At 45.8% G+C, this 27,758-nt stretch overlaps 1 protein-coding gene and 1 long non-coding RNA gene across 2 annotated transcripts in view, besides 4 other annotated features; both read right to left on the bottom strand.

Annotated features, from left to right (window-relative positions):
• Window positions 1-27,758, bottom strand: part of GALNT10 (polypeptide N-acetylgalactosaminyltransferase 10) — a 230,252-nt gene that overhangs the window by 197,937 nt on the left and 4,557 nt on the right. The window lies entirely within an intron of this gene.
• Window positions 615-4,892, bottom strand: LOC107986465 (uncharacterized). The gene is made up of 2 exons (XR_001742939.1): window positions 3,357-4,892; window positions 615-2,990 (listed from the first exon to the last, which is right to left on the bottom strand). It is a non-coding gene; the product is annotated as an uncharacterized LOC107986465 (long non-coding RNA).
• Window positions 3,245-3,749: an enhancer, noted in NCBI's record as "H3K27ac-H3K4me1 hESC enhancer chr5:153598859-153599363 (GRCh37/hg19 assembly coordinates)". NCBI's record gives its function as "activates a minimal SCP1, AML or CMV promoter by ChIP-STARR-seq in naive and primed H9 embryonic stem cells {active_cell/tissue: H9 hESC(naive and primed)}" and the evidence as "EXISTENCE:reporter gene assay evidence [ECO:0000049][PMID:30033119]".
• Window positions 3,750-4,256: an enhancer, noted in NCBI's record as "H3K27ac-H3K4me1 hESC enhancer chr5:153598352-153598858 (GRCh37/hg19 assembly coordinates)". NCBI's record gives its function as "activates a minimal SCP1, AML or CMV promoter by ChIP-STARR-seq in naive and primed H9 embryonic stem cells {active_cell/tissue: H9 hESC(naive and primed)}" and the evidence as "EXISTENCE:reporter gene assay evidence [ECO:0000049][PMID:30033119]".
• Window positions 19,657-20,157: an enhancer, noted in NCBI's record as "H3K4me1 hESC enhancer chr5:153582451-153582951 (GRCh37/hg19 assembly coordinates)". NCBI's record gives its function as "activates a minimal SCP1, AML or CMV promoter by ChIP-STARR-seq in primed H9 embryonic stem cells {active_cell/tissue: H9 hESC(primed)}" and the evidence as "EXISTENCE:reporter gene assay evidence [ECO:0000049][PMID:30033119]".
• Window positions 19,955-20,084: an enhancer, noted in NCBI's record as "active region_23473". NCBI's record gives its function as "activates an Ori minimal core promoter by ATAC-STARR-seq in GM12878 lymphoblastoid cells {active_cell/tissue: GM12878}" and the evidence as "EXISTENCE:reporter gene assay evidence [ECO:0000049][PMID:35858748]".

Below are 27,758 nucleotides of genomic sequence, written 5' to 3'. Positions count from 1 at the left end.
GATAAATATTCATGTTGGTACCACATTCAGGTTCCACGGGATTCTTAAGGTTTACTACATTTGTTAAATTTCAATGTCTTACTTATCCCTGGAAACCCCATATGCTCTAGATTTTGCCAGATGATACTGATACCTTATTAGGAAAACAAAAAGGCAAGCCACAGATTGGGAGAATATATTCACAAAACATATATTAGACAAAAGACTTGTAGGCAGAATACATAAAACATTCTTAAAACTCAACAAGACAATCCAATTAAAAAATGGCAAAAGATTTTAACAGATACTTCACAAAAGACATAAAACGGCCAATAAACACATGAAGAGATGCTCTTCATGGCAGAATGTAAATTTCATGTGAGACATTAAGATGTCACTTCTTCACATCTACCAGAATGGCTAAAATTAAAGACTGACCATTCTAAGTGTTGGTGAGGATGCGGAGCAGCCAGACTCTTATACACTGATGGTGGGAATGCAACATGATACAGCCACTTTGGAAAACAATTTGGCAGTTTCTTAGAAAGATATATATATACCATACAATCCAGCCATTCCATTCCTAAGTATTTACCCAAGAAAAACAAAAACATATATATACACAAAGACTTGTATACAAATGTTTATAACAGCTTTATTTGTAATAACCCAAAGCTAGAAACAATCCAAATGTCCATCAACAGGTAAATGAATAAATGAATTAGTCTATCCATGTAATGGTCTACTACTCAGCAATAAAGAATGCACTGTTGATACACACAAGAACATGGATGAATGTCAAAAAGCATCATGCTGAGTAAAAAAAAAAAAAACAGGCAAAAAGGAACACATACTATATTATTCCTTCAATACAAATTTCTAGAAAATGTAAACTCATCCAGAAAGACAAAAAGCAGGCAGGTGGTTATTAGGGGACACAGAGAGGAATGGGTAACAAAGGGGCACAAAGAACCTTTTGGAGGTGATAGAAAGGTTCATTCTCTTGACTGTGATGATGGCTTCACAGGTTTATATATATGTTAAAATTGATCAAGTTGCACACTTTTAAAATGTGCAGTTTATTGTAATTCAAATATACTTCAACTAAGCTTCACGGAAAAAAAAGTACCAATACTTAAAAAAAAAATCCTTTAAAAAACAAGCAGGCAGTCCACTGGCAAAGTAAGCAAGGCCTCAAGTTGGTCTGAAAGCTGCTACTGTAAGCGCGGTGTCAGCATAAAGAGTGGCAGGAAGGCCAAGAAGCAGGAAGCTAGGCAGACAGGCCTCAAGTCGCACTGCGGAGTGCTGTAAATGTGGCTTGAAGATGACTGGCTTTTTGAGGTTGCCTTCGTGGCAAAACTAATTTCTTCAGTACCCAAGTCCTGGCAGTCCAATACTTAGAGCCTGAGAGAGATGTCAGGTTGCATTCCTGTGGTTTTTTTTCCTTTTCCTGTGTTCACTGTGAAAGTGATTCCTGGGTGCCTGTGAAGCCTTCACCCAAAAGCAGGCTTATAATGGTGAAATTTCAGGCATGGCTGGAGGCCTAAAGACACAGATCCTTGGGGAATAGGAGCGGCTGAGTTTTAGAATGGCTCCAGGCAGGAGCTCTGTGCAGGATGTGCAGACTCAGTAAGGCACAACTCAGGGGCACCCTAACCCCCGGAGCGGTGCAGGGAGGATACCCCTCACCCCAGAGCCCCTGGGAGGCAGAATTCCCTGCTCCAGTCATATAGGAAGGATGGGGCCTTCCCAGTGCTCCCTTCAGCAAATATTATTTTAAGAGAAGAGCTAAAAAATGAAATGTCAGTGGAGCAGCCGAGGGACATAACTACCTATTCACCCACGTACCCTGATTCTAGCCCTTGTCTGTTATAACATTACCTTATATTATAAGAGTGCGTCTATCTAGAAGTCCCTTAACCTCCCGGTGTCCTGACTTGCCCATCTGTTGAATAGGAGGAAAATCCCTACCTATTTCATTTATCTTACTTGTGAAGGACAAAAGTGCACATAACCCTGAGAATCCTGGAACAGAGGGGTCAAACTGGCAGGTCACAATCAAGACCCTGCAGGCACAGATGGCTTTATTTGGCCTGCATGATATTTAAAACTCAGGACAGTCCATATTTTTAAAAATCCACAAGTCTGTCTTTTCTTGAAAAATCAGAAGAAGGATCTGGCCTTGCTGGACCCACATTCCCAAGCAATTGGCTGGAGCTGAGTAATGACTGACTCATTCAGGTCACTGGCTTGGTCCTGTGGCCATTTGTGTTCACCCCAGAGTCTGTCAGAAAGGTACCTGGACTTCTTCTAGTCCAGACCACTCCTCACCCAGGACATTCTGTGACAGCCCCATCAGATGGCTCCAGCTTTGAACATTTCTCTTGCTGTGGGAACTCCCTTTTAAGGATGCTTATTTGCAGGATTCCATTTGCTTGGAAGTTCTTTCACATATTCCAGCGGAAGGTCTGTCCTGGTAACTTCCACCCTCAGGTCCAGGTCTACTTTCCTTGCAAGCCTACCCACCCCTATTTCAGCACTTCTGGCATTTACAGCCACTGAGTTTCCTCCATGGAAACCTAAATGTGCAGTTTCTTCAGCCCTTCCCTTGAGACATAATTTCCTGATCCCTTGGTGTCCTGGCGCTTTGAACATGCTCCACTTTATCTGTGTCAAATGTGGGTTCTTCCTTCCCATTTTGTCCCAGTGAGCAGGTTGAATTAATTAGTAACTCATGTTCCTGCATGGTGGCTCTCTGGCGGGCTTCAAAGGGAGGCAGTGTCACTGAGTACTATAAGCAATACTAAATATGTTGTCAGTTTTAGTCTCAACATCCCAAATGATAAAAATAGATCTCATGGCATCAGACAGGATAATTCATCTTCTCTAAAAATCATTTCCAAAACAAAAATGAAACATCAGGGATTCCCATGTTTAAAAAATTATGTACGTCTTGGAGTGAAAGTAATTGTTAAAAAATAAGTAGCCCATACTTGGAGGCTAAGCACTTCCTATGGAAAGGAAATAAACAATATGTGAAGATTCGCCAGATCAGATCTGTTTAGGACAAAGGTTAAAACAAAGACAAAAATTCTCCTATGCCTACCATGGTTTTCTTGAAGGTCTACTTTGTGGGAGTGGGAAAAGCATTGGGTGTTCATGTCATCTCATAAATGAAATCTCTCTCCCTCTCTCTCTGTGGTGTGTGTGTGTGTGTGTGTGTGTGTGTGAGAGAGAGAGAGAGAGAGAGAGAGAGCGCGAGAGAGTGTTTGAGATCTTACAGAATTCACTTACTGTCTCTGGATCAGTTATCTGTTTTGTAAAACGTTGGGCTTGGAAAGATCACTGAGAGGTTCTCAAATTTGCATTATAATCACCTGGGCGTGTGCTTGTTAAACATGCAGATTCCCCGGCCCACCCATAGAAATGCTGAATCTGGAGGACTAAGGTGGCACCAGGAAGCCGAAGCCGTTGGCTGGGAGAGTGCCCAGGTGATTCTAGTATGTGCAGGTTTTTCAATCTGGTGGTAACAGCCCATGTCCATTCTTCCATCCATTATTTGGCATGCATTGTGTGGCAGGAGGTGTGCTAGACGCTGGAGGATAGAACAGTAAACTGGTCACACAGGCACAGCCTGAAAGGAGCTCATGCATCTGTAGGGTAGGTGAGGGGAGGCCACCAAGGACATGGATGACTGTCCTGGGATACGGTTAGGACCAAGACATCCATAAGCACAGGACACCACAGGAACCCACTCAGGCTGAGGAGGGCAGGGTGGTCAGGGAAGGCTTGCTGGGGGAGATGATGTCTCAGTAGACACCTGAAGCACGTGGAGGACCTGGCCAGGGAGGCCCAGACTGGCACATTAAGGCCTGGGGACCCAGGTAGAGCACATGTCGGGGAGTAGATGAGCTACATTGGGAGCCAAAGGCGAGCAGGTGGGAGAGCAGGGGACTACGACTACAGATGCGGTCAGAGGCCGGAGCAGCAGGGCCTGAGCAGCCATAGCAAGAAGCTGGATTTTATCCTAAAGTCTAGGGGAGCCGGGGGAGGGCTCTGGGCAGGGTAAGGACATGACCAGATGTGTTTTGGAAAGATCACTCTGGTTGCTGTGTGCAGAATACACTGCAGGGAAAAGGACACAGGAAAACAGAAGAAGAGGCTTCAATAAACAAAGACTCAGCACTAGAGGTGGCCAGTGTGGCGAACAGCACTGACTCTCGGGGAAAGCCAAGGCTTCTGTCTTCTTATTCCAGGTCCCACAGGTATGATTACCTTTTCCTTGCTGGAGAAACTTGGGGCTTACAGAACAGGAACTTCTTCCCATCTACACCCTCTCCCCCCAATTCTGTCTGGGCTGCTTGCTTCTCAGACTCAGAAAGGAAAATGGAAGCTGCCAGGTGGTTTTAACGTATTAACAAAAAGCAAGAAGGTTCTAGAAATGGCTCAGAAGAGAAACACCACTCATGCTTACCCTTTGGGAATATAAATACCACCTTAATAATAACTTACTTGTGGTTAGCACTCTACATTTTACAACACTTTGATCGCCATACCTTTTTGAAGATTCTCATTATGCCTGTGAAATGAATATTCCCATTCTAGAGAAGAGGAAACCAAGGCCCAGAGAGCTTGAGCGACTGGTACAAGGTCACAGGGAGAGCTGGAAACAGCACAGAGGCTGGAATTCATTCCACGGCTCTTCACTGCTATTGATCCCCGAGCCCATGGGACTATAATTAATTAAAATGTCTCTCCTCAGCACTGGAGACAGCGAACTGGAGAATTCAATGAGAATCTCTGCCCAGTGTGGAAGTGTTTCATCTTGAAGTCCTGGGAGGGCTTTTAAAATGAGAGAGGGACCCATGAGGTGGGGAGGGAGGAGGTGCCCCAGGCTTGTTAGAAAATGTCATCCCCACCTGAAAATGCCCACTCCACGAAGGCAGAGGCTGTGCATCTGAGCCCTCTCTGCTCTTGGGCGGTGGGAATAATCCTGGTCTCAGTCGAACAGCAGTGCCCAGGCTGGGGTGGGGAAGCGAGCTGGCAGGAGAAATAGAAGGAAGAAACCACATGGAATGATTCCCTTTCTTCTATCCCTACCCCAACATTTTTATTCAGGTCCAATCAGGGAGTTAAACTGTACAATTTATTTATAGAAAGTACAACAGTCTCTCCAAACACCAAAAAATTAATAGCTATTTTTGAGCTCTTACAATGTGCAAGGCACAAGCCCTCTCCATACAGTCTCCCAATTAATTTTTAGCATAAGTCTAGGCATCATCCTGAAGGTCCACATGGCTGTTACAAATGACAGAACCAAGATTCAACTCAGGCCTTCCTTACTGCAGGGCCTGCGCTGACCTGCTTGAGAGGGCAGGGGCCCCTCACCACACTTGTTTTGGTGACAGGGGTGTGGACAGGAAGAGGGATGCATCTGGCTCTGTGCATGTGGGAACTTTCATTGATTTTAATTCATCTGGGAGGCAAGCTGGAACTCTCTCCATCTCTTCCACTACCTGCTTTCTTGAGACGAGACAGGGACGCGGTACTAAAGAGTGAAAGAGCTCAGATAACAGCCCCACAGAGAAGAGGCAGCAGAACCTCCAATTCCCACAGCACTCAAGTGCCCCCAACCACCCTCTCACTGTCTCCCTTGCCCCTCACAACAAACCCTGTAAGGCAGGAAGGGAGATGTAAAATTCCCATTTTCCACAAGAGGAGCGTGATCTGCCAGGGGTCATGGAACACACAGATCCTGGAGCTCCATGGGCATCTCTCAGAGGGCAAACAAGGCTTTAGGCGGAAGCCACTGTAGCGCACAAAAATTGGGAAGGGTGGGAGTAGTGTCAGAGAGGTCTACCCAGACAGACGGAGAGGGTGGAAAAGAGATCTAGTGAAAGGAGGAGGAAGGAAGTGGGGGCTGCCTGACCTCAGAGGTTGAGGGATGATCTAATTTATCATCCAAGGCTTTCGATAACTGCTGGAGTGATTTTTATGGGCAAATGGCTCAACAAATCTCTAAGCACATAGGAAACAATTGAATAGGAGGTAAAAGGTAACAACGGTCTCATAATTAAAGCAGTGCTTCCCGGGGTTGGGCAGAGGGAAGCATTTCTCACACTGGAGGATAGGAGAGGAGATTTTTTTTTTCATAAGTTGACACAATCTACAAAAGTAAAAGCTGCCAGGGTCTACTCACAAGTAAAAAGCAATTGCTGAGATGTGAACATGACAATATAAAGGTTGTTGCCAGTAAGTAGGCCTTCTTGTGCAAATACGATCTTGTTATATAGTCCACCTGGAGTACAATTTAATAAATAAATAATGATGGACTAGAAGGAATTCCCAAACAACTGAGGAATGCCAGTTTCATGTTCTCTGAGAAGCTGGTAGGTTTTCAGTGAGTGAAGTCTTTCAATTGGTAAGACTTGGAGGTGCATTTTATGATTACAAATTTCTAATTTTCAAATTAATAACATTTATTTACTGAAAATTAACCAACGAGGACAATGAGGTTGTTCTGATGAACACAAATAATCTGAACTCAGGAATTGGAGACAACAGCTTGCAGCTTACATCTGCCTCAAAGTATAGTTTTCTGTTTGGTTTTAGTTGCCCAATGCTAAAAAAAATCTTTTTAATTTAATGGAGAGTTGATGCATTTGATGAATAAGTAGATACATTTTTTTAAAAAACACAGCCTGCCCTATAATCTCAGGATTATCTTCAATTAAACAGATGTTAAAAGAAAAAGCTGGTGACCTTCAACACGTAAAAATGCAGTATATAACACATAGCAGTATTTTTTAAAAATAATATTATTATTATTACAACTTTAAAAAGAGCTAACAATTTGAAACAATGTAAACACTGAAGCATCCATGTGAACTTCCAGAGACAGTTTGTAAAGTGCTGGCTGGGATGATCTCCAAGATCCTCCTGACCCTGGTCTCTGCCTCCTCCCTCACCATAACATCTTGAACAGAAAGCAGTGAAAACATCAGTGGCAGAAGCTGGCATGAAACAAACAGGTTTCCCCTCCACTTCAGAGGGGAAAGAGAGGAGAGAAGAAGAGAAGGTAACAATTACTGCCACAAACTCTACCTTTTCAAATAAATCTTTATATACCTAAAGCTAGATAAACCACCAGCTAAAAAACAGAAAGGTATGCAGATGCTCAGAGCTAAGAGGGCCCTGCCAAGTCCTCCTTCTGCCCCAGGGCTGAAGCCTTACCCCTAATAACTCAGTAGCTTCTGCTACAGAGAACACCAGATCCCCTTGAACAAGTAGTTCAAACACTTTGGAGACTGGCTAACATACCTGCAGCAGCGATGCACACAGATGGCAGATCTTCACAATGCATGCTGTGGCATGTTTATTCATTTTTAACCATGACAGTATTCTTTTGCTGTCTATCTTCAGGAGAAGGAAAATCACTGTTATATCTTAGGTCTAGAAGAACTAAAAGGCAGGGATAATTAGGAAAAAGAAGAAAAGACAGAGGTGGTGACCTCCACATCCCTGGAGCTATTCAAGCCAATACCTAGATAACACCTTTTTTGTTTTGTTTTGTTTTTTGTTTTTTGAGACGGAGTCTTGCTCTGTCGCCCAGGCTGGAGAGTGCAGTGGCGCCATCTCGGCTCACTGCAAGCTCCACCTCCCGGGTTCACGCCATTCTCCTGCCTCAGCCTCCCAAGTACTGGGACTACAGGTGCTCACCACCACACCCGGCTAATTTTTTGTATTTTTTAGTAGAGACGGGGTTTCACTGTGTTAGCTAGGATGGTCTCAATCTCTTGACTTCGTGATCCGCCCGCCTCAGCCTCCCAAAGTGCTGGGATTACAGGCGTGAGCCACTGCGCCCAGGCTAGATAACACCTTTGAAGGCAACTATAGAGAGGACTTCTCTCCAGGGTGACACGTCGTACTGAATGATTCCTAACGTTCCCTTCCAACTCAAACTCTGTTTCTAAAAATAAAGGCAACCCTTTTAAAATTAATTTTTAAGAATCACACAAGTTATACATATATGCAGTCATATCTCAGTACCAACAATAGTATAATGGAATTTACAAAGCATGTTTCCCATGGGTATTTTCTCAGTTAATCATTGCCACAGCCCTGCAACATAGCCATTACTGTTATTATCCCCATTTCAGAAGTGGGGCAGGGGCTCTGAGTTTAAGTAATTGCTCTGAGGTTAGGCAGTTGGAAAGCAGTAATTGCTGACAGCTCTAGGTTTCCCTCTGACATTTTCCTCCTCCTCTTCCCTTATCTTCTCCCCTTTTTGTCTTCTGAAAAGTACAGTTTCATAATGAGAAAATGGAGGAGAGAAACAGAATGAGCCTCCTGTACAGGTAGCTGACTGAATCCCTTCCCGTCACTTTGTACCACAAGATGATTCAGGGAAGACTTACTCATAACCTCGGTGTGTAATGAATATACTGAGTTGTGCAATAATTTTTTAAAAAATGGTTCATGCATATCTGAACCAATTTTGAAAAGAAAAAAATTAGTCCCTTTTTTAAGTTTAAAAAAGGAAGCATTTTAGTCTAAAGTGAGGAAATGAAAGGGAGGAGGTTTGGGGTTTTTTTTCTCCTTTTTCCAAATTAGGCTCTATCATTCCCACCGGTGATGAGTGCTCGCTGCTTCTGAGATCACAATGAAACATGAGGCTGAATTCCACAATGAACCGGCAGAGCAGACAAATGCCAATTCATTAAAGATGGAAAAAAGATTAATTCTAAAAGATAAGTCCCTCTGGTTGGTTATCAGGTTTGAATTTTCAATAGGAGAACCACCTGGTTTTTTATTTTGGAGGCTGATTTTTTTTTTTGTGCTTGATTTTTGGAGGCTGTTTTGGTCCTCAGAATTCAGATCAAAACCAATTTTTCTCAAAAATGTTTTACCAAAGAAGGTGTGGGTGGAAGTGGTTAGGGAGGAGTGATTCCCATCAAAAAGGCTTTCAGTATTCCAGTTGCTTGAAGAAGCCACATTTCTCAAATAACTGGAAGGAAACGAAGACTCCTAAAACCTTGCACTAGAGTTGAACAGTTTCTATAACATACCCTCTCAATCCTCTTTCTGATGGAGAACTCTGGAAGGGAGAAGTTGCTATGTCCTTCTTGCAAAAGAGACCCTTGGGGCCCAGAAAGATTTAGTAATTGGCTCTAGCATACACAATACAGGCTGTGCACATGGTTCGTGCCTGTAATCCTAACATTTTGGGAGGCCAGGACAGGAGGATCACTTGAGGCCAGGAGTCTTGAGACCAGCCTGGGCAACATAGCAAGATCCCTGTCGCTACAAAAAGTACAAAAACTAGCCAGCATGGTGGCACCTGCCTATAGTCCCAGCAACCGGGGGTGTTGAAGCAGGAAGATCACTTGAGCCCAAGAGTTTGAGGGTGCAGTGAGCTATGATCACTGCACTTCAGTCTGGGCCACACAGTAAGGGAAAAAAAAATAACCCCACGGCATAGACTTGTATCCTGAATGACTGATATCCTGTGATATCCTGATTTATATCCAAGCCAGTGTCCCTTGCCCCTCAAGAGGGAAAGCATTTCCAAAGAAAGATGTCAACTCAAGTTCAGCTTCCTGAAACCCAGCTTAGCCACTATGTGTGCCTATACAGAGAGGGGAATGGCCAGGCATCCCTCAAAGCATTGATATCCTCATGGACATAAAACAGAGAGAAACTGGGAATGGCCAGAATGTGTCATTTAAGACCTGTAGGAATGTTCGGCCTGGAGAGGTTGTTTTTCCTTTCAAATTCTTAATCCCTACAAATGAAGAGTGGTAGCTGTAGTTACCACTTACTTCTCTCATCTCAACTCTTTATAACAAACCAATGCAAAGAACTCAAGGAGAGCATAGCTGTGTTTGACTGTGAGCTGATAATAGTAGCAATAGCACCTAATGCTCATCACATGCCAGGCACTGTGCTGAGAACATTGAATAGTTTTATATGCATATTACAGATTAGGAAACTGAGGCACAGAGAGGTTAAAGTCACCTGCTCAAAGCTCTAAAGTAGAAGCGTTGAAATTTAAACCCATAGGTCTGACTCTGGAGCCTGTGATCTTTTTTTTTTTTTTTTGAGATGGAATCTCACTCTGTCGCCCAGGCTGGAGAGCAGTGGCGCGATCTCCGCTCACTGCAAGCTCCGCCTCCCGGGTTCACGCCATTCCCCTGCCTTAGCCTCCCGAGTAGCTGGGACTACAGGCACCTGTCACCACGCCTGGCTAATTTTTTGTATTTTTAGTAGAGACAGGGTTTCACCCTGTTAGCCAGGATGGTCTCAATCTCCTGACCTTGTGATCTGCCCGCCTCGGCCTCCCAAAGTGCTGGGATTACAGGCATGAGCCACCATGCCCGGCCTGGAGCCTGTGATCTTAACCACTCACTTACAAGCTGTAACTCACTCACTTACAAGCTGTGCCATCGTGCTTAAGTTACTTAATTTTTTCTAAGCCTTATGTTTGTAATCTGTGAATTAATCTCTGTTGTTAAGACAAACAGAGAAATCAGACGAAAATGTGAAATGGGGATGACAGCAACTCCACAAGGTAGTTCAAAGCATTAAATGAAGTAACGTAAGTGAAGTATTAATATTTAGCATCAGTATGGTCCCACTGCACAATTCCAAGGATGTTATTTATACACATAGATGTGCTACAAGGCAGTCCTGCCTGGCGCAGTGCCTGTCATGGTAGAAATGTTCAAATGCTATCATTATTATTCATTACCATTGTATGACAACATCAATAATCAGGGTTAAGAACCAAGGGGAAAGCTGCTCATCCATGAAGGCAGTGTCAGTTCCTTCCAAGAGCTCTCCTTTGCTACCATCTATTCTGATTTCTGCTTCCTCAGAACCCTGTCAAGCCATCTCTCATGGGACATCTTGGTTTTTATGAGCAATTTCAGAGCATGTCTTACTTCCTTCAACAGATGATGTAAACTTCTGGAGGGCAGACACTGGCCCTCCAGAAGCAAAAGGCTTTCAGGAACTATGGTGATTTAAAATGTCCATAACTTCTTCCACATTCCTCCCTCCAAGAAGTGGAGTTGAATTCTTTTTTGCACATAGGCTGAACTTCATGACTCACTTCTAATAGGATAAAATGTCCATCATGATATATAGCTTTGGAGACCAGGTCCTAGAAGGACTGTGGCTTCCTGCTTGCTCTCTCCCCGTCTCTTGGATGGTGTGCTCTGGGGAAAGTGAGCTGCCATGCTTCAGGGACACTCAAGCTTACTCATGAAGAGGTCTTGTGTTGAGGAACTGCGGTCTCCTTCCGGCTGCCAAGGGAGTGAGCCATCTTGGAAGTAGATTAACCGGCTCCGGTTGAGACTTTAGATGCCTGCAGGACTGGCCAACATCTTGATAGCGACCTCATGAGAGACACTGTACCACCACCACCCAGCTAAGCCCAAATTTCTGACCCACAGAAACTTTAAGATAACAAATGTTTGTTGTGTTACGCTACCACATTTTGTTATGCAGCACTATATAACCAAAACGGGAAATGCATGGTGAGTTTAACAGCAAGCAGACAACAGGAAAGTCACAGTTTCACAGCAGAAGGAGTAACCTGCATACACGGATGAGATTTTCTCTATTGTTAAGACAAAAGAGAAATCAGATGGAAGACCTGAGACACACTGGCTTCATGCAATCAGACTTTTGGTCAAAAATCACCAAGGGAAAAAGAGAGGGGAAAGTGTAGATGAACGTTGACTGAACAGTTCAATACTGCACTCCCTCCAGAGAGTCCATAGTGGGGGCTCCAGCTCCATCCCCTGCTCTTCCCTCCCCAGCCCCAGGGCCACCCTCCAACCACACAGCCTACCTGCAAGTTCCCCAAAGGGACCAAGCCCTTTCCTGCCCTCCTGCCTTTATACCTGAGGGGTCCTCCTCCTCCTGGCATCCCTTTCCTCATTTATTCATTTTTATTCATTTTTTAAAAAACTTTTTATTGTAAAATAATTTCAAACTAATAGGAAAGATGCAAGGCTGGTACAGAGGATCCTGTATATCCTTTATCCACATTGGCTGTTATCATTCTCCACATCTGTTTTATCACTCTCTCTCCCTCTCCCCCATCTACCTGTATCTACAATTTTTTTCTAAGCCATTTGTGAGAAAGTTGAAGACATGATAACCCTTTATTCCTAAATTCTTCAGTGTGCATTTTCTAAGAATACAGACAACAAAATCAAGAAACTTCACACTGATAAAATACTATTATCTAATCTACAGTTCATATTCAAATTTTGCCAGTTGTTCCAATAATGTCCTTTATGTCTAATTTATTTTTTTCTGGTTCAGGATCTAATCCAAGATGGTTTATTCCTTTTTTCACTCATCAAATATGTCACATGCCAGGCACTGCGTAGAGCACTGGGAATAAAATAGTTGGGGGGAAAACGGATACAGCCACTGTCCTATAACACTTACAGTTTAATAGAGAGACATGTTAATCAAATAATCACACTTATTGTAAGTCTGTATAATCACAAACTAACACATATGCTTTAATGCCTGAGTGGGCTGAGGGTTGGGGTAGAAGGGGGTCAGAAAGTTCTCTTGGAATAGGGACACCTGAGCTGCCATTAGAAGGGTGAGGCAGAATTAGCCAAGCAAAACTGTGTGTGTGTGTGTGTGTGTGTGTGTGTATGCATGTGTGTGTGCATGCAAGTGCATGTGTGCCTGTGTGCATGCACTTGTGTGCACGGTAGGTAACTGGAAGAGTGCTCCATGTAATGAGAGTGACATGTGCCAAGGCTCTGTTGCAGAAGGACACATGGCTTGTTGGAGATCAGAGTCGTTGGAGGGCAGAGGTGGGTGAGGGCACAGTGTGGGTAGGGGGCCAGGGGTGGAGTTTAGTCTTTATCCTGGAACAGGAAGCCACTTAGGCTTTCCCAGTGGCATAATTTACATTTCCAAAAGATAACTCTGACTGCTGCATGGAGAGAGGAAATGAAAATGATGCAGGTCAACCATCCCTTAGCCTCAATTCCAAAGTCCAAACAGGCTTTTTAAATAACTTTAAAAAAATAACTCATTTAGTGACAAAGCCTGACTTGAATAGACATGAGGCTATTTATAGTCTTGATTTATTCTCTTACTGTGAATACATTTTTGTGGCAGAAAAAAAAAATGTGTTTGATTATGGGGAGCACTGTAAACCCCACTAGAGCTATTACATAATAACACATGCACTTTACTAACATTCCTAAATCAGAAAGACTCTTCTGCCAGTGTTAGAGACTGACTGTTACATGACCCCAAAACTCCTATGTTGAAATCCTAACCCCCAAGGTGACGGTATTACAAGATGGGGCCTTTGGAAGGTAATTAGGTCATGAAGGTGGAGCCATCGTGAATGGGATTAGTGCCCTTGTAAATAGAGACATGAGTGCTTGCTCTCTTTCTGCTCTCTGCCACATGAGGACACAGCAGGAAAGTCACTGTCTATAAACCAGGAAGAGAGCCCTCCGCAAGAACCTGACCATGGTGGCACCCTGATCTTCGATTTCCAGCCTCCAGAACTGTGAGCAATAAATGTTTCTTGTTTAAGCCACACAGTCCATAGTATTCTGTTGCAGCAGCCCAAACTCACTGAGACAGTCAGTTATTAATTTATTGCCTCTCAGCCCCAAACCCACCTTCACTGCCTGCTATGCAAAAATGGTTCTGGGCCCTTAAACGTGTTTCCCTTGCCAGCTAACATGATGTTAACAGTGGTTAGTAGAAGATGCTGGAGAGACACTGCAGAAGGAAAGGCTTTTTTCACCCTGGTTCTGGTGTGTTCAGTAGGCAGGCAGCACGGGTGGCGTCTCTGGCACTAGCCTCCTGCAGCGTGCATGGCCTCTCCATGTCTAGCTCCTGCAGTACGCGTAGCTTCTCCATTGCCTAGCTCCTGCGGTGTGCAGCAATCACCGGCATCCAGCGACCAACAGCTTCTCCCAGCACCCATTCCCTTGGGTGGTTTTGTAGCAGAATGTCTTCCATGAGATACCTCACCATGTGTTTCTTCCTCCAGCACCCTAGCAGGCAGATTTCCTGTGAACTTTGCTGGGGTGGCACTCTAGTGACTCTCTACCACTCAGTAAGCATAGCTGTGCCCTCTCCAACAAAGTCAGGATCTCAGCTTACGGGGGCCTCTTCCTTGGGTGCTGTTAACTCAACACTGGGGGTAGGAGCTGTTCCTCTATCTGCCATTCCTATATTCTTTAGAGTGCTTTTCACTTCTTAATAGCCAATTTTCATCGCTCTAATCTCCTGTTACAGTAAATAATTCTTTATATTAAACTTCCTGTGTTCAAATCACTGTGTGGTTTCTCTGTCCTGACTGAACCTTGACTAATAATTCTAAATGCTAAAATATGCCTAATACACAGGGTTTGGGCTAAGAGATTCCAGACCTGTAATCCTAAGGGTATCTATGTACCACTTTTTAAATGCCGGGCACTATTCCAAGTGTTTTGTGTATGTGAATTCCTTTAATCCTGATAACTAACTTGTGAAGTAGGTACTATTATCAGGCTCATTTTAAAATGTAAGAAATGAGAGAGAGAAAATAAAAGATTAAGGAAATTTCTCGAAGTCACACAGCTAGTAAAGGGCAGAGCTGGGATTCAATCCTAGGCAAATCCATGGCTTTATAAGCCTGAGGTGAGTGGGAGGGGCAGGTAGAGGTGGCGGCCAGGAAGCCAGCGTGAAGGCTAACGTGAATCCTTCACTGTGCTCTCAGGCCTGTGCTCACTCCACCTATGGCATGCATCCCACTGCCCTGGAATTATCTGTCTAATGGGCCACCTGGTCCTCAAGGGCCGAGACCATGTCCTTTTCTCTTAGAATGTCAAGTGCTTAGCAGAGAACCAGCCTGGGGCATGTGCAGTGTTCAGTCAAAAACTGCTGGATAAATGACATATTGAATGAAGAACTGCAGACCTAAATGCCAGCTACACAGCAGGCTGAGCCTTCCAGGTCAGGACCTGTGCCTGGAGTGCCCTGGCCCCTCGAGAGCTGTCCTGGGAGCACCTCTGCCTTGTCTGGTCTGGTTGCAAACATCTGACAGTGGTTGACAACATGGCCTCCCGATCTCTTTCAACTATTGAACTCCAGGACCCATACGAAAGCAAATCTGGTCACCCAACTTCTCTGCCCAACACCCTTCACGCTCCTGGGAACTGAGGATGGAGTGTAGCTCATGACCTGGCCCTAACTGTGTTTTAGCCTCTCCCAGCCCCACTCCTGGGGCCAGGAATAATGAGCTTAGGAGACCCTGCACACCCTATGCTGTTTTCCCAACTCTGGACTTTTGACTGTGCTATCTCCTCTACCTGGAATCCCTTCACTACCCACCCCCTGCCCAGCCATTTCCCTGTCTGGCTAAACCATCCCACTCCCCGTAAAAGACTTAGGTCAGGATTCCCTCCTTCAGGGAGCCTTTTCTGCTTACCCGCCCTGCCCGTCCGGGTCCACTGGCTCTCCTATGTGCTCACATAGAACCCTGTACCTACAGCTACCAAGAAAGATCTCACTGTACTCTGACTTGACCTGTTTAGTATGTGGAGCCCAGAGAAGTGGTTAAGGCCCAGGACTCTGTAGGCCAGTCACAGCCCTACCAGTGACCAGCTGTGTGACCTTGAGTGAAACATTTCATCTCCCTGATGAACCTGCAACCTCCCTGCAACCAGACCAGATAAGGCAGAGGTGCTCCCAGGACAGCTCTCGAGGGGCCAGGGCACTCCAGGCACAGGACCTGACCTGGAAGGCTCAGCCTGCTGTGTAGCTGGCATTTAGGTCTGCAGTTCTTCTTCCTTCAATATGTCATTTATCCAGCAGTTTTTGAACGCATATTGCGCATGTCCCAGGCTGGTTCTGCCTTCATCCATAAAATGGGGATAATTAGAGTGAGTATGTTATTGGGTTGCTGTGAGGATCAAAGATGATAATGTATGCAAAGTGCTTAACACTGTGCCTGGCAAAAACAGTCTGCAACAGTAGCAATGGATTCCTTAAGCTCAAAGGCTGCACGTTACACATCTTGGTGGCCTCAGAACCTAGCATAGCATCTGGACCACAGAAAGGCACAGTGGATGAATGAATCTCTCCACCCCAATAGCCTCCAAACTGCTCTCCCTGCCTCCTGTGGCTCCTGCGTTGCCGTAGTTACCTTTCTGAGGCCTAGCCCTGATCAAGTCATCCTCTGCTCAAAAACTATCCATGGCTTCCTTGCCTCCTGCAGGCCAGCCTCCCTGGCCTAGCAATCAGGGACCCTGTGACCTGGCCCTCACCCACTTTTCCAGCTACTCTCTAACAGACACGTGAAGTTTCAGTGACTCTGCCTTTTGCTGTTCTTGAAAGAGGCTCCCCGCTTCCTGCCATCTGAGAGACCCCAATCCCACCATGTACACTTTGCTAAAGTTTTAACCTTCTTCAGGACCATCTTAAAAATCAGCACCTTTCAGAAGTCCTTCCTGATTACAACTAGGGTGCTGCTCCCTTCCTCTTGGCTTCCCGCAGCACTGGCTGATCTCCTCTTGCAACACTCGTCATGCTCTGCCTGATGCACTGCATCCCCGTGAACTTGTCTGCGTCCCTTTTTAGACTAGGAGCTCTCTCAAGGCAGCGGCTGTTTTTTGTATCTATCACATAGTAATCCCCCAAATCAATTTAGTGGGGACCCAGTACAAAAATAAATTGTTGAGCTCAGAACAAAAGGATAATACAGTTAAGTGAAAGGCAGTATGTACCATGTGTTTATTCACTGGGATTCAAGGCTAATGGCTCAGGTTTTTTTTAACAGGTTGATCTCTTAATAAGCAGAGTGGCTTTAGTTAAAGAATATATATGTGCAGTGTAATATGCTAATCCTCCACAGAAAGAGAGGATCTTTTCCATGAATTAAAAAGAAATGTAAGTAGCTAGAAGAGATTAAGACAATTATCCTTGCCTTTGCAAAGGTGTTTTATCTATCTGCCTACAAATATAACATACAGACACACTCATACACACACACACACAACACAATCTGATGAGAAAATGGAAAATGGTCCATGTATTAGTTCCCAAGGGCTACCATAACAAAGTACCATAAAGTGGGTGGCTTTGAACAACAGAAATTTATTGCGTCACAGTTCTGGAGGCTTGAAATTCAAAATCAAGGTACTGGCAGGGCTATCCTATCTCCAAAGCCTCTAGGGGAGATGCTTCCTTCCTCCTCTTCCAGCTTCTGGTAGCCCCAGGTGTACCCTGGCTTAGGGCAGCATCACTCCAGTCTCTGTCTACAGCTTTTCACAGCCGTCTTCCCTCTCTGTCTCTGCATCTCTTCTCCTCTTCTTATAAGGATATCAGTCAGTCACAGAGGATTAAGGGCCCACCCTATTCCAGCATGACATCATCTTGATTGGTTACATTTGCAACAAACCTATTTCCAAATTAGGTCATATTCTGAGGTGCCGTGAGTAAGGACTTTGCCGTATCTTTTTGAGAGACATGATTCAACCCATGAGCCCATTTACCCACTTACTGGGAGCTGCAGTCCTTGGGAAAGCCTGGGGCACGACCAGCAGCCCTCTTCCTTAAGACGCTCCCTCTAGACTGCAGGGATGCTCCTCACAAAACAAGTAAGCAGGGGTCCACCCTTATATTTTCCTCCTAAGAACCAGGGGGAAAATATAATCCCAGACAAGCTACTTACTTCATATTCTAAAGACTGTCTGGAGGGAGAGAACCAAATGGATCCTCATCCAGAGATACCACCAATGAAGCCACGTGGACTGAGGACAGGAGCTGCTTCTGATTAAAAGATCTCAAGAGAAACGGTGTCCTTTGACTGTTGCCTTAGGGAGCTAACACTTTTGAGGCCTTCTGATCTCAACAGGGGAGAAGGAAGTCTGTCTCTTCCCCCACTATGAGAACACAGCCCCTTAGGGTGAAAGTGTGCAATTTCCCACAACACCAAGAACAGAGTGGTGTCCAAATGAAACACGGAGGAGTGGTGAGAAGAAACATGGAGAAGTCAGAGTCCTATCTGTAGGGTATCTGGGAACACAGGTATGCATGCATTCATTCATTAATTCAACAAATATTCTTGAGCACCTGCCATGTGCCAGCACTATAAGGTACAGCAGTAAATAAGACACACAAGGTCCCTACCCTCATGGTGTTTAGTATCTACTGGAGCAGAGAAATAAACAAGTAAATAAATAAGCAAGGTGACTCCAGACAGTGCTAAGTTGCTATGTGGACATTTCACAGTTGATCAAGTCGCAGAGTGGGTAGGAAAGAGGTACTTCAGATGGTATGTTCACGGAAGCCCTCTCTGAGGAGGTGACTTTGGAGCCAAGACCTAAAAGATGAGGAGGAACCAGTCCTTCTATAATCTTGGGGAAGAGTATTACAGGCAGGACCACATGCAAAGGTCCTGCAGAAGGACCATGCTGGATGTGTAAGAAGGCTAATGCAGCTGCTGTGCTGTGACTGAGAGGAGGAGACACAGTGAGCCAGAGGGTAAGCAGGGCCAGACGAGACAGGGGTCTGTGCTGTGTTTCAGTGCAGCAGTGGAAGCCACTGAAGAGTTTTAGGAAAGAGGCAGAAACCTCTGATTTACCCTTGCAAATGTGTACTTGGGCTGTGCATAAAGAATGGACTATGATTTCAGGGTGGAGGTAGGAGAGGAGCCAGGAGGCTGTGGCAGGAATCCAGGTGAGATGTGACAGGCTGGTGGGAAGCGGGAAGAAAATAGGTGGATTTGGAATCTGTTTCAGAGATGCAGTCAGATCCAGCAGAGAATTCAGGGCCTCACTGAGTATCAAAAGCTGGAGGGATCCTTAGAACTTGTCCTCCCAATTAACACAGCTTACATAGGAGAGGACGGAAGCACTGCTGAGTCAGGGACCCAACTAGGGTCACAAAGCAACTCAAGGTGGCTCCTACCTGAGGAGTCAGGCTCCTGCCTCAAAACCCAGGGCTCTTTCATCATGAAAAGACTAGAAAGGGGTCAGCAAACCATGGCCTGGCAATCCAGCTTGCTGACTGCTTTTGCAAATAAAGCTTTATTGGAACACAGCACTCTCATTGGTTTAAGTAGTGTCTATGGCTACCCTCACACTACAAAGACAGATTGAGTAGTTGTGGCAGAGACTGTATGGCCTGTAAAAACCTGGAATATTCTCTGGACTAAAAGACCACATAAAACACAGTGGTCAAGTTTGGGAATGGAACTTTTCGAAAGAGGAGGAAGCCCAGGCTCACAAGAGAGAGCTCTGGGATCTCTTCTTCCCAGCTGGAGCCTCATCCAAGGGAGTGTCCTGCTAGGAAGCCTCCTTCAACAATACATTCCTCCACCTAGGGAAATGGCAATACATGGCACTATAACATTCACGCCACCACAGTTGTACAAATTAAGTTTTGTAGGCATTTCCAAGAGACAGACTAATTCTAACTGGAAAGATCAGGGAAGGCTTTCTGGGAAGAAAAAGATTTCAGAGGTACCTGAAAGGATGGGTAGAGGGTACTCAAGAAATTCTTAGGTCACCCCTGAGCCATGGCAGACTACCTAGGACTCTGCTGAGCTAAAGGAGGTGAGTTCCCCATCACTGGGGGTGTTCAAGTCAAAGATGGTAACCATTTGGCAGGGATAAGGTTGAGGGAGACTGGATATGATAAAAGATACAATTCCTTGAAATTGTGGATTCCACCGTGGTAGGCTTATGGCTTCTTTAGTGTCATTTCTCATCATATTTGCTAAGAGAGAGACACACATCACGGAGACTATGGGGGTTGCGGGGGGAGGTGGAAGGAGAGACAGAGAAACACACACAGACAGAGAGGGGAGAGGCCTGAGAATAGGAGACAGGTGAAAGAGTCATACACCCAAAGTGAAAGAGAGTCCATACAAGTCACAGAGGGAGGAAACTCACACCGGGGCTTCCCCTCGCCCTTAACTGCTACAGAGAACAAAAGAAAGCAAAAGCCTGACAATTAGAGTTAAAACTAATCAAATGTCCCTTTAATACCTCTGGCTTGGCACTTGGCAGCCTTCTTAACGTGCCCCATTGTTCCCTGGCAGGGCTTGGATGGCAGGAGCCCTCAGCTGCCTCTCTTGCTGCCAGGGCAGAGTGCAGAATAGCAGGCGAGGGGGGTCTAGGCTGCGAAAGGGAGAAGCAGAGAGGCACACCCCAGGCTGACTCTGCTGGGAGACCCCACCCCCACAAGCAGAGAGGCCCCACCCTAGCGGGAAAGATAGCTCACACCACACCAGTGTCTGACAACCGCCCCGAGGGAGGGGTGGCAGGAAGAGTTATGGGTGGGAAAACTGACTCTGCTCGTGTGCCAAGAAGGTATTATTCCCACTTACAGGTGAGGAAATGGAGGCCAAAAGACGTTAAAAGACTTGCCCAGAGGAGTCAATAAAACATGGTAGCTAAGAGCACAAGTTGGAGAGTCAGAAATCTGAGTTTGAGTCCCACCACTTGTTTCTTGTATAGGCCTGGGAAGTGACTTAAGTTTCCTGAGCCTCAGTTTTCCCATCTGTAAAATGACAACAGTAAGGGCACTCACTCCCTGGGATTACAGTGCTGATGAACTGAGATGGGCACAGTGCATAGCACGCAGTAAGAGCTCAATAAACTAATGATCATTGCTGTTTCTGCTGTGGAGCCAGTGCTCAAGGACAAAGCTAACTCCTGGCCACCACACCGAGCTGTGCCCCACACTCCATGCCCCACTGCCACACCAGGAGCCACCTGGAGCCTCCAAGGGAAGGTTCTTGAAATGGCGGGCAGAGGGACCCCCACTCCTGCCCCGGCAATGAACCCTACTCTCAGAGACATGAGTGGCTATGTTCAGCTGCCTCTGGGGGGACCTAAGCTGTTCTCATCCAGGTTCTCTCTTTTCTAGAAACCTCCTGGGTGCCTGTGAGGTCCCCTCAGACCAGGGAGTGGAGCATGTACCATTTCTGCTGGGAAACCTGTCTTCACTCTCATTTAATGGATCCTAACACTTCCCCAATAATAGGAAGATACATTCTGGGGTTTCCCGACATGCCAGGAAGCACAGGCAGAAAACAAGGTGGATTCTGTACCTACATCATTTCTTTTTTTTTTTTTCTTTTCCTCGAGACGGAATCTTGCTCTGTCACCCAGGCTGGAGTGCAGTGGTGCGATCTCAGCTCACTGCAACCTCCGCCTCCCAGCTTCAAATGATTCTCCTACCTCAGCCTGCTGAGGAGCTGGGATTACAGGAGTGCGCCACTACACCCGGCTAATTTTTGTATTTTTAGTAGAGACGGGGTTTTACCATGTTGGCCAGGCTGGTCTCAAACTCCTGATCTCGTCATCTGCCCATGTTGGTCTCCCAAAGTGCTGGGATTACAGGTGAGAGCCACCACGCCTGGCCTGTACCTACATCATTTCTAACAAATCTAGAGCAGCCCCTGACATGGCTAAAAACAACAACAACAACAACAACAAAACTTTATTAGACAGGGTAGACCTGAAATTCAGATACCTAGAAATGGACAGAAGCAAGGCAAATGGTTTCTTGAGCTGAGATAGAGCAAGAATCATCTAAATATAAACATAAGTGAGTCTGTCAGAGCCTAAGGTTTATATACTTACACTTCCAAGTAATTATTTTTTTTTCTCTGAAAAGTACATTAGTCTTAGAGACAGAAGGATTAGCATCAACTTATTGGCTTTGGTACTAGTCGTGTCACTTATGCTCTTTGAACCTCAGTTTTTGCATCTGTGAAGTGGGGACCGTAAGCCCTGCCCTGCCTCCACCGTGATACTGGTGGAGGCAGAACTGGGAAAAGCCTATGGGAATTTGCATATCATAAAGGAGGGCTCCCAAAGTCGAATGTCTCCTGCAGCCTGGCCAGTTGTGTGAAAGGGTGAAGTGCCCAGGTTTGAGACCACTAAGTGCAGCAGGGGTGGTGGCCAACTGGAGAGCTAGGGTCTGTCTAGAGGAGACAGCTGTTCCCACATCCAGCAAATTCTTACAAAACTTGAACCTGAACTCAGCAGCTGAACTTTGATTAAAAAACAAAAAAACAAAAACAAAAACAAAAAAAACAGAAATTAGTATAGAATTGTTTTAAAATAGGAAATATTCTCATGGTTAGGTACTGGTAACATATGAACATTTAAAAATTAAAAAACCCAACTATCTATGGGCCATCACTGTTCAAGGCACACAAAACGTATCTCTGGGCTGCATCTGGCCCACAGGCCACCAGTTTGCAACTTCCATTAAAGTATACAGGTAAGGTGATTAAAAATACATAAAGGTCAAAGAAATTAATAAAAGAAGCTCTCTGAATGAAATAGCCATTAAAGTTTATTATTAATAAAATAACCACAAATCCAAATGACAGATCCTGGCTCTCCAAGAACAGAATTACTAACTTTTCACTGAAGTTAGGTACCAAATTTAGAAACTGGTTATTTCACAAATAGGCACACACACACACATACACATTTTAACTCTCAGCAGCTGACTCTGATCAATACTCAGGAGGAAACATGCAAAAAATAACAGTTTTCAGTTGAGAACATACAATGTGCTTTAGCAGCAGGACGTAATTTTCACACACACACCCCTGCCAGATGTTTCCAACCTGTTCCCTCGAAGAAACCCCCTTCCCTCCAGGAGCCCCTGTCGGCCCCTCTGCTCAGCAGCCCGCCTCTCAGAGGAGGCTGACATTTGTAACTCACAAGGGAGACCTACACAAACACACACACACAGAACCCTGGCGAACTGGGCTCGTGAGAGGCTGCCCGAGTGCAGCATCCAGGCGGCACATGGGACTTGCTATAATCCCTGCCCTGGCACGGCTGCCTGGGTATTCAGCTGAAAGAGCTTTCTGGAGCCAACAACAAGAACCAGGCTCATGGGGGTCTCAGTGATAACCTCCCACTGAGGCCTCCGCAAGTCCCTGTGAGCAGGGGCAGACCCACAGACTCGCCCCAGACCATCCAGTCAGTGGCTGGCGCAGATACCGGAAGGAAGCATCCCAGCTGGATTGGAATCCTGTTTCCATCACTTCCTAGCTGCGTGGCCCTGGATATGTTACCTGACCTCTCTGTACCTCAATCCTCACAACTGTTATTTAATTTCATCTAATCATCACCATGACACTAGGAAGTAGTGATGACTTTGCTCATTTTAGGAGAAGGAGCAGGAAGCCCCAGAGGTCAGGCACAGAGCCAGCAAGTGGCAGAGCTGGGCCTGAGGATCAGGTCACATTGGTTCCCAACTCCACACTCTCTCCTCTGCTCTCTCCAGTACAAGGGAGAGGTTTACAGGGTCTCCACAATACTAACCCTTCCCAAGAGACCCCCTAGTTCAGCCCAACACCCACGTAGAGGCACCTACCTCATCCTTGCCCATGGCAGGAAGGCAGAGCACGCATCCTGGAAGAGCAGCAGACTGTGGGCATCAAAGGAAAATAAAGCTCTACCGCCCCAGCCAATCCTCGCAGCCCACAGGAGAGGGATTCCAAAGTGCACCTCCCATCCCTGTCCTGAACTGGAGCCTGATCTGCTTGCATCAGATACAGTGCCACTGCTAAAAGTACCACAGAGCTCCCCTGTGGGTGCTGATTGACAACTTGGGAAGCTGCAGATAAACACACTTCCCAGGAACAGAAGTTCAAGGGCGGGTCCTGAAGCACTCCTGGGGAGAATGGAGTGGGTCCCTGGGGAAAGAGAGGTCTGTCTCCTGTCAGGTGGGTGGAGAGGAGTTCCCTGTTGGACCCTCAGTAGGATTTGTTAAATATGTGATCCTTGGCCAAGCCCAAACCAGCCCCTTCATGCTCTTTGGGCATGGATCCTGGTGTCACCATCCTTAACAGGCTCCCTAGGGATTGTGAAGCACCCTGAAGTTCAAGAAGAACCATTCCTAAGGCTAAGCTTCCAGCATGCAGCCAGCAGTTACTGAGTACCAACCATATGATTCACTTACTCACTCACCCCCTCAGCCATTCAGCAAATATTTTAGGCAAACAAGAGTGACCAAGAGAGAGGTTAGTTCCTGCCTTTAGGAAGCAGACAGTCTGGACAGATTAAAAACAATTACAGCATTGCGTGACAGATTTATATACAGGTCTCCGGGCCCTGGTTGGGAAGAATGCTAACCTAGGCTGCCCTGGCAGGAGTTAGTCAGGTCTAGGGGCAAGGCTGCAGGGAAGAAGGATGTTAGAAATCTTCTAGAGGGCCTCTGATCTAAGTAGGCAGATGAGAAAATCAAGGCTCAGAGGAGCTAAGACCCTTGAGTGACCCCTGGGGGCTGGAGTAACCAAAGAACACTTCCTGGAGGCAGCAGGCTATGAGCTGAATCTAGAAGGATACAGAGGGTCTGGGTTGTCCCAGGGTGGGAGTTGAGAAGGCATCCCCAACAATTGCTTCGCATTCCGAAGTTTCAGGAAGAGGGGTACCAAGAGCAGCCTCTGCATGCACAATTTCCTTCCCACCTCCAATAATCAGAGACTGCACCCACCTGGCTTCTTCCAGTTCTTCTGAACCCTGTGCTGTTAAGCCAACCACTTATCTTCGAATTGCTCACCTTCTAGACAAAGACAATGTTATGCAGCCCTCCCTACCTCCGCCAAAGGGAAGCCACAGAGAATTGAGTCCCTGCCATAGGCGAGGCACTTCACAAAGGCAGCGGCATCACCATGTTTACCAAGCACTTGTTCTGTACCAAGCATTGTGTTTGGGGTTTTACCCACAGTGACTCACTGAACCCTCAAGAGAACTCTCTGCCACAGTTAACATTACTACCATTTTACAGACCAAGAATTCCAGGCACACAGGTCAAGCTTGCCCAAGCCTCGGGTTTTGAATCAGGCAGTGTAGCTCCAAAGCTAGAGCACTATACGCAGCCCCACATGCCTCAAACCAAGAGGAACGGAGACAGGAGGAGGCTGAGGTAGAGGTTTCTCTTCCAGCACACACCACCACCACATGACCTTATGTGCTCCACTTCAGCTACTGAAGAGGCTGTCTTAGGGCAATGGTCCCTCTCACCTGCTCAGATGTCCAGGCTTGCAGGAAGGGCTTAACGGGCAGGGGTGGAAGACAGGTCCTTTGTCCTGCTCAGATATGGAGGAAGTATGGTGGTTAAGGACTCAGCACTAGGTCAGAGTTCAAATACCAGCTCCACCACTACAGGCTGTGCATCCTTGGGCAAGCACCTGCCCCTCTTCGAGCTTCAGTTCCCTCCTTCTTTCCTACCTGGTTACAACAATATTTAACAGATGTACAGGTAAAGGACCTAGCAGAGTAAGTGCTAAATAAATGGTAACTGCTATTACTACTATTAACATTATCAACCTCATTATCAGCCATATCATCATCATTCTTTGGATCAGTATCATTTTATGCTGTGGCTTTCATCACCTGAGAAAACTGAAGACAATTTAACATCTGAAGCTCAGCATTCTCTTAAAGCCATAGGGAAGGAAAAAAATAGGCCTGCTTTTTTCTTTTCTCTCCTATCTACACTCAGCAGAGGGCAGCAAACAGGAACCATTCAAAGATAAGAGGGAGAGAAGAGAGACACATGGAGAGAAAGCTACACACGCATAAATACACACCCACCCACCACAGCAAGCAGAATTGTTTAGCTTCCTCTAGCTTCCAAAGTATGAACACTCCACCTCCTCCAGCTAAGAGGGCCAGGCAGAAAAAACGTGGAAGCTGCAGAGACAGAAGTTCTTTTTCAGCTTGAGAGAAATTTTCAATGAATTGACTTTTAGTGTGTATGGGGGCAGGGGAGACAGTTCTCGGGACGTCTGTGAGGGGAAAGGAAGGCAGCGGCAGAACGGGTAAGTAAGATTCAATAAAGACAGCTTTCAATTGCTCTTTATCTCCACCCTCCACTGTGTGTTGGCAAGCATTTGCACCCAAGCCGTCCTCAGCAACAAACTGAGGTCCACACAGCTAATCATCTCAGCCAAGGGGTGGCAGTGCTGGAATGAGAACACAGACCTCCAGACTGCAGGTTCGGTGCCCAAAAATGGGTCCAGGGTGGCAAAGGGGTTTTCTCTCCAGGACCAAATCTCATCCCCAAGGAGTGATTACTGCCTGGAACACTGTGTCAGCAGGACTCTGGAGTGGATATTTGTGGGCTTCTTCTCTAGATATCTTTCTCCTCTTCCCAAAAGCAGCACCCAGAGTCTTCTCTGGGGAACTGCTCTTCTTAGATCTGGGTAACCTGACTCCACTCCTAGCTCTAGGGTACGTTAAGTCAATCAATACAGCTTCTCCTCCTGAAATCTGCGAATGGTTCAGACAGCACATTAGATCCAAAGTAGACCGGTAAGACCTAAGATCTTGCTAGAGCTTATAGAAAAGATGTTCTCTGTCTTTTGTAGAAGCTACCAGAGGAGACAGACCCTCTCCTCTAGGATCTAGGTGTGGATCTGAGGTCTGAAAGAGCTATTACCATTTTTTGCTGCCATGGAGCCTCAAAACAGAACAAAGCCAACACACAGAGAAAGTCAGAACCAACAGAAACCAGAGGAAAGGAGACCGAGCCCTGACAATGCCACAAACCTCTAGATCACACCATACCTGAAGCCAACTACAGTCACAGGAGCCAATATATTCCCTTACTCATTTCAGCCCACATGGCTCAATTTGTTTTGTTACTTGCAACTGATAGAGAATCTGAGGTGGTTCTTAGGCTCAAGTTCTCTCTGTCTGTCAGGGATAGCAGTAATGGTGCCATGTACTTCCCAGCCTTTAATTCCTCTACTCTTGTCCCTTTGCCACCTTAAATTTTAATCCATTTTAGTTGCTTTTAAAACTATAAAATGAGGCTGGGTATGGTGGCTCACGCCTGTAATCCCAGCACTTTGGGAGGCTGAGGTGGGCAGATCACCTGAGGTCGGGAGTTCGAGACCAGCCTGACCCACACGGAAAAACCCCATCTCTACTAAAAATACAAAATTAGCCAGGCTTGGTGGCGCATGCCTATAATCCCAGCTACTTGGGAAGGCTGAGGCAGGAGAATCACTTGAACCTGGGAGGTGGAGGTTGCGATGGGCCGAGATCACGCCATTGCACTCCAGCCTGGGCAACAAGAGCAAAACTCCGTTTCAAAAAAAAACAAAAACAAAAACAAAACACTATAAAATGTTGGAAAGAAAATGTACAAAAATAGATCTACAAAAAAATAGCCAGATAGGTTCCAGCAGATAATTGGTCTCATTAAGCAGTGGCCTCCAAAATTTGGGGTGATAATCTTGGCTCCTGAAAGAAATAATGGTAGAGAAGGATCAAATATTAGTATATGGAGGGAAAAAATTTCTCATGGTGAAATAGAACAAGAACTTGGAGAATGGATTCTGATCTGCGTTCCTCCCTATGGGAACTTGTTTAATTTGTTTCCCTTTTTCTCGGCCTCAGTTTTCATACCTACAAATTGAGGAGATTGGACTAGATGACTTCTGCAGCCCCCTGCCTGCTCTGATATATTTCAATCATTCAGCAAACACATCCTGTCTTCCAAGAGCCAAATCTTGTGCTTTGTGCTAGAGGAGGATGTGTTCCTACCTTAAGACATTTCCAGCAGGGAGGCCATGATACACTTCTTGCTGCGGGAATTCAGGTGTATATGCGCTACCTCCTTTCCCCACTCCACTGCGCATGAGGAGAAAGGTTCTCTGGAGAAACAAGACTCTTATTCAAGGCCTTCCCTTACCAGTTCTGACACATATATGGGATGCAGAGGGTCAGATATATGTAAAA

The sequence above is a fragment of the Homo sapiens genome, chromosome 5, assembly GCF_000001405.40.
Source record: "Homo sapiens chromosome 5, GRCh38.p14 Primary Assembly".
In the NCBI taxonomy this organism is placed as follows: Eukaryota; Metazoa; Chordata; class Mammalia; order Primates; family Hominidae; genus Homo; species Homo sapiens.
Note: the sequence above shows the minus strand (reverse complement) of the source record. Positions and strands in the feature narration are given on the sequence as shown.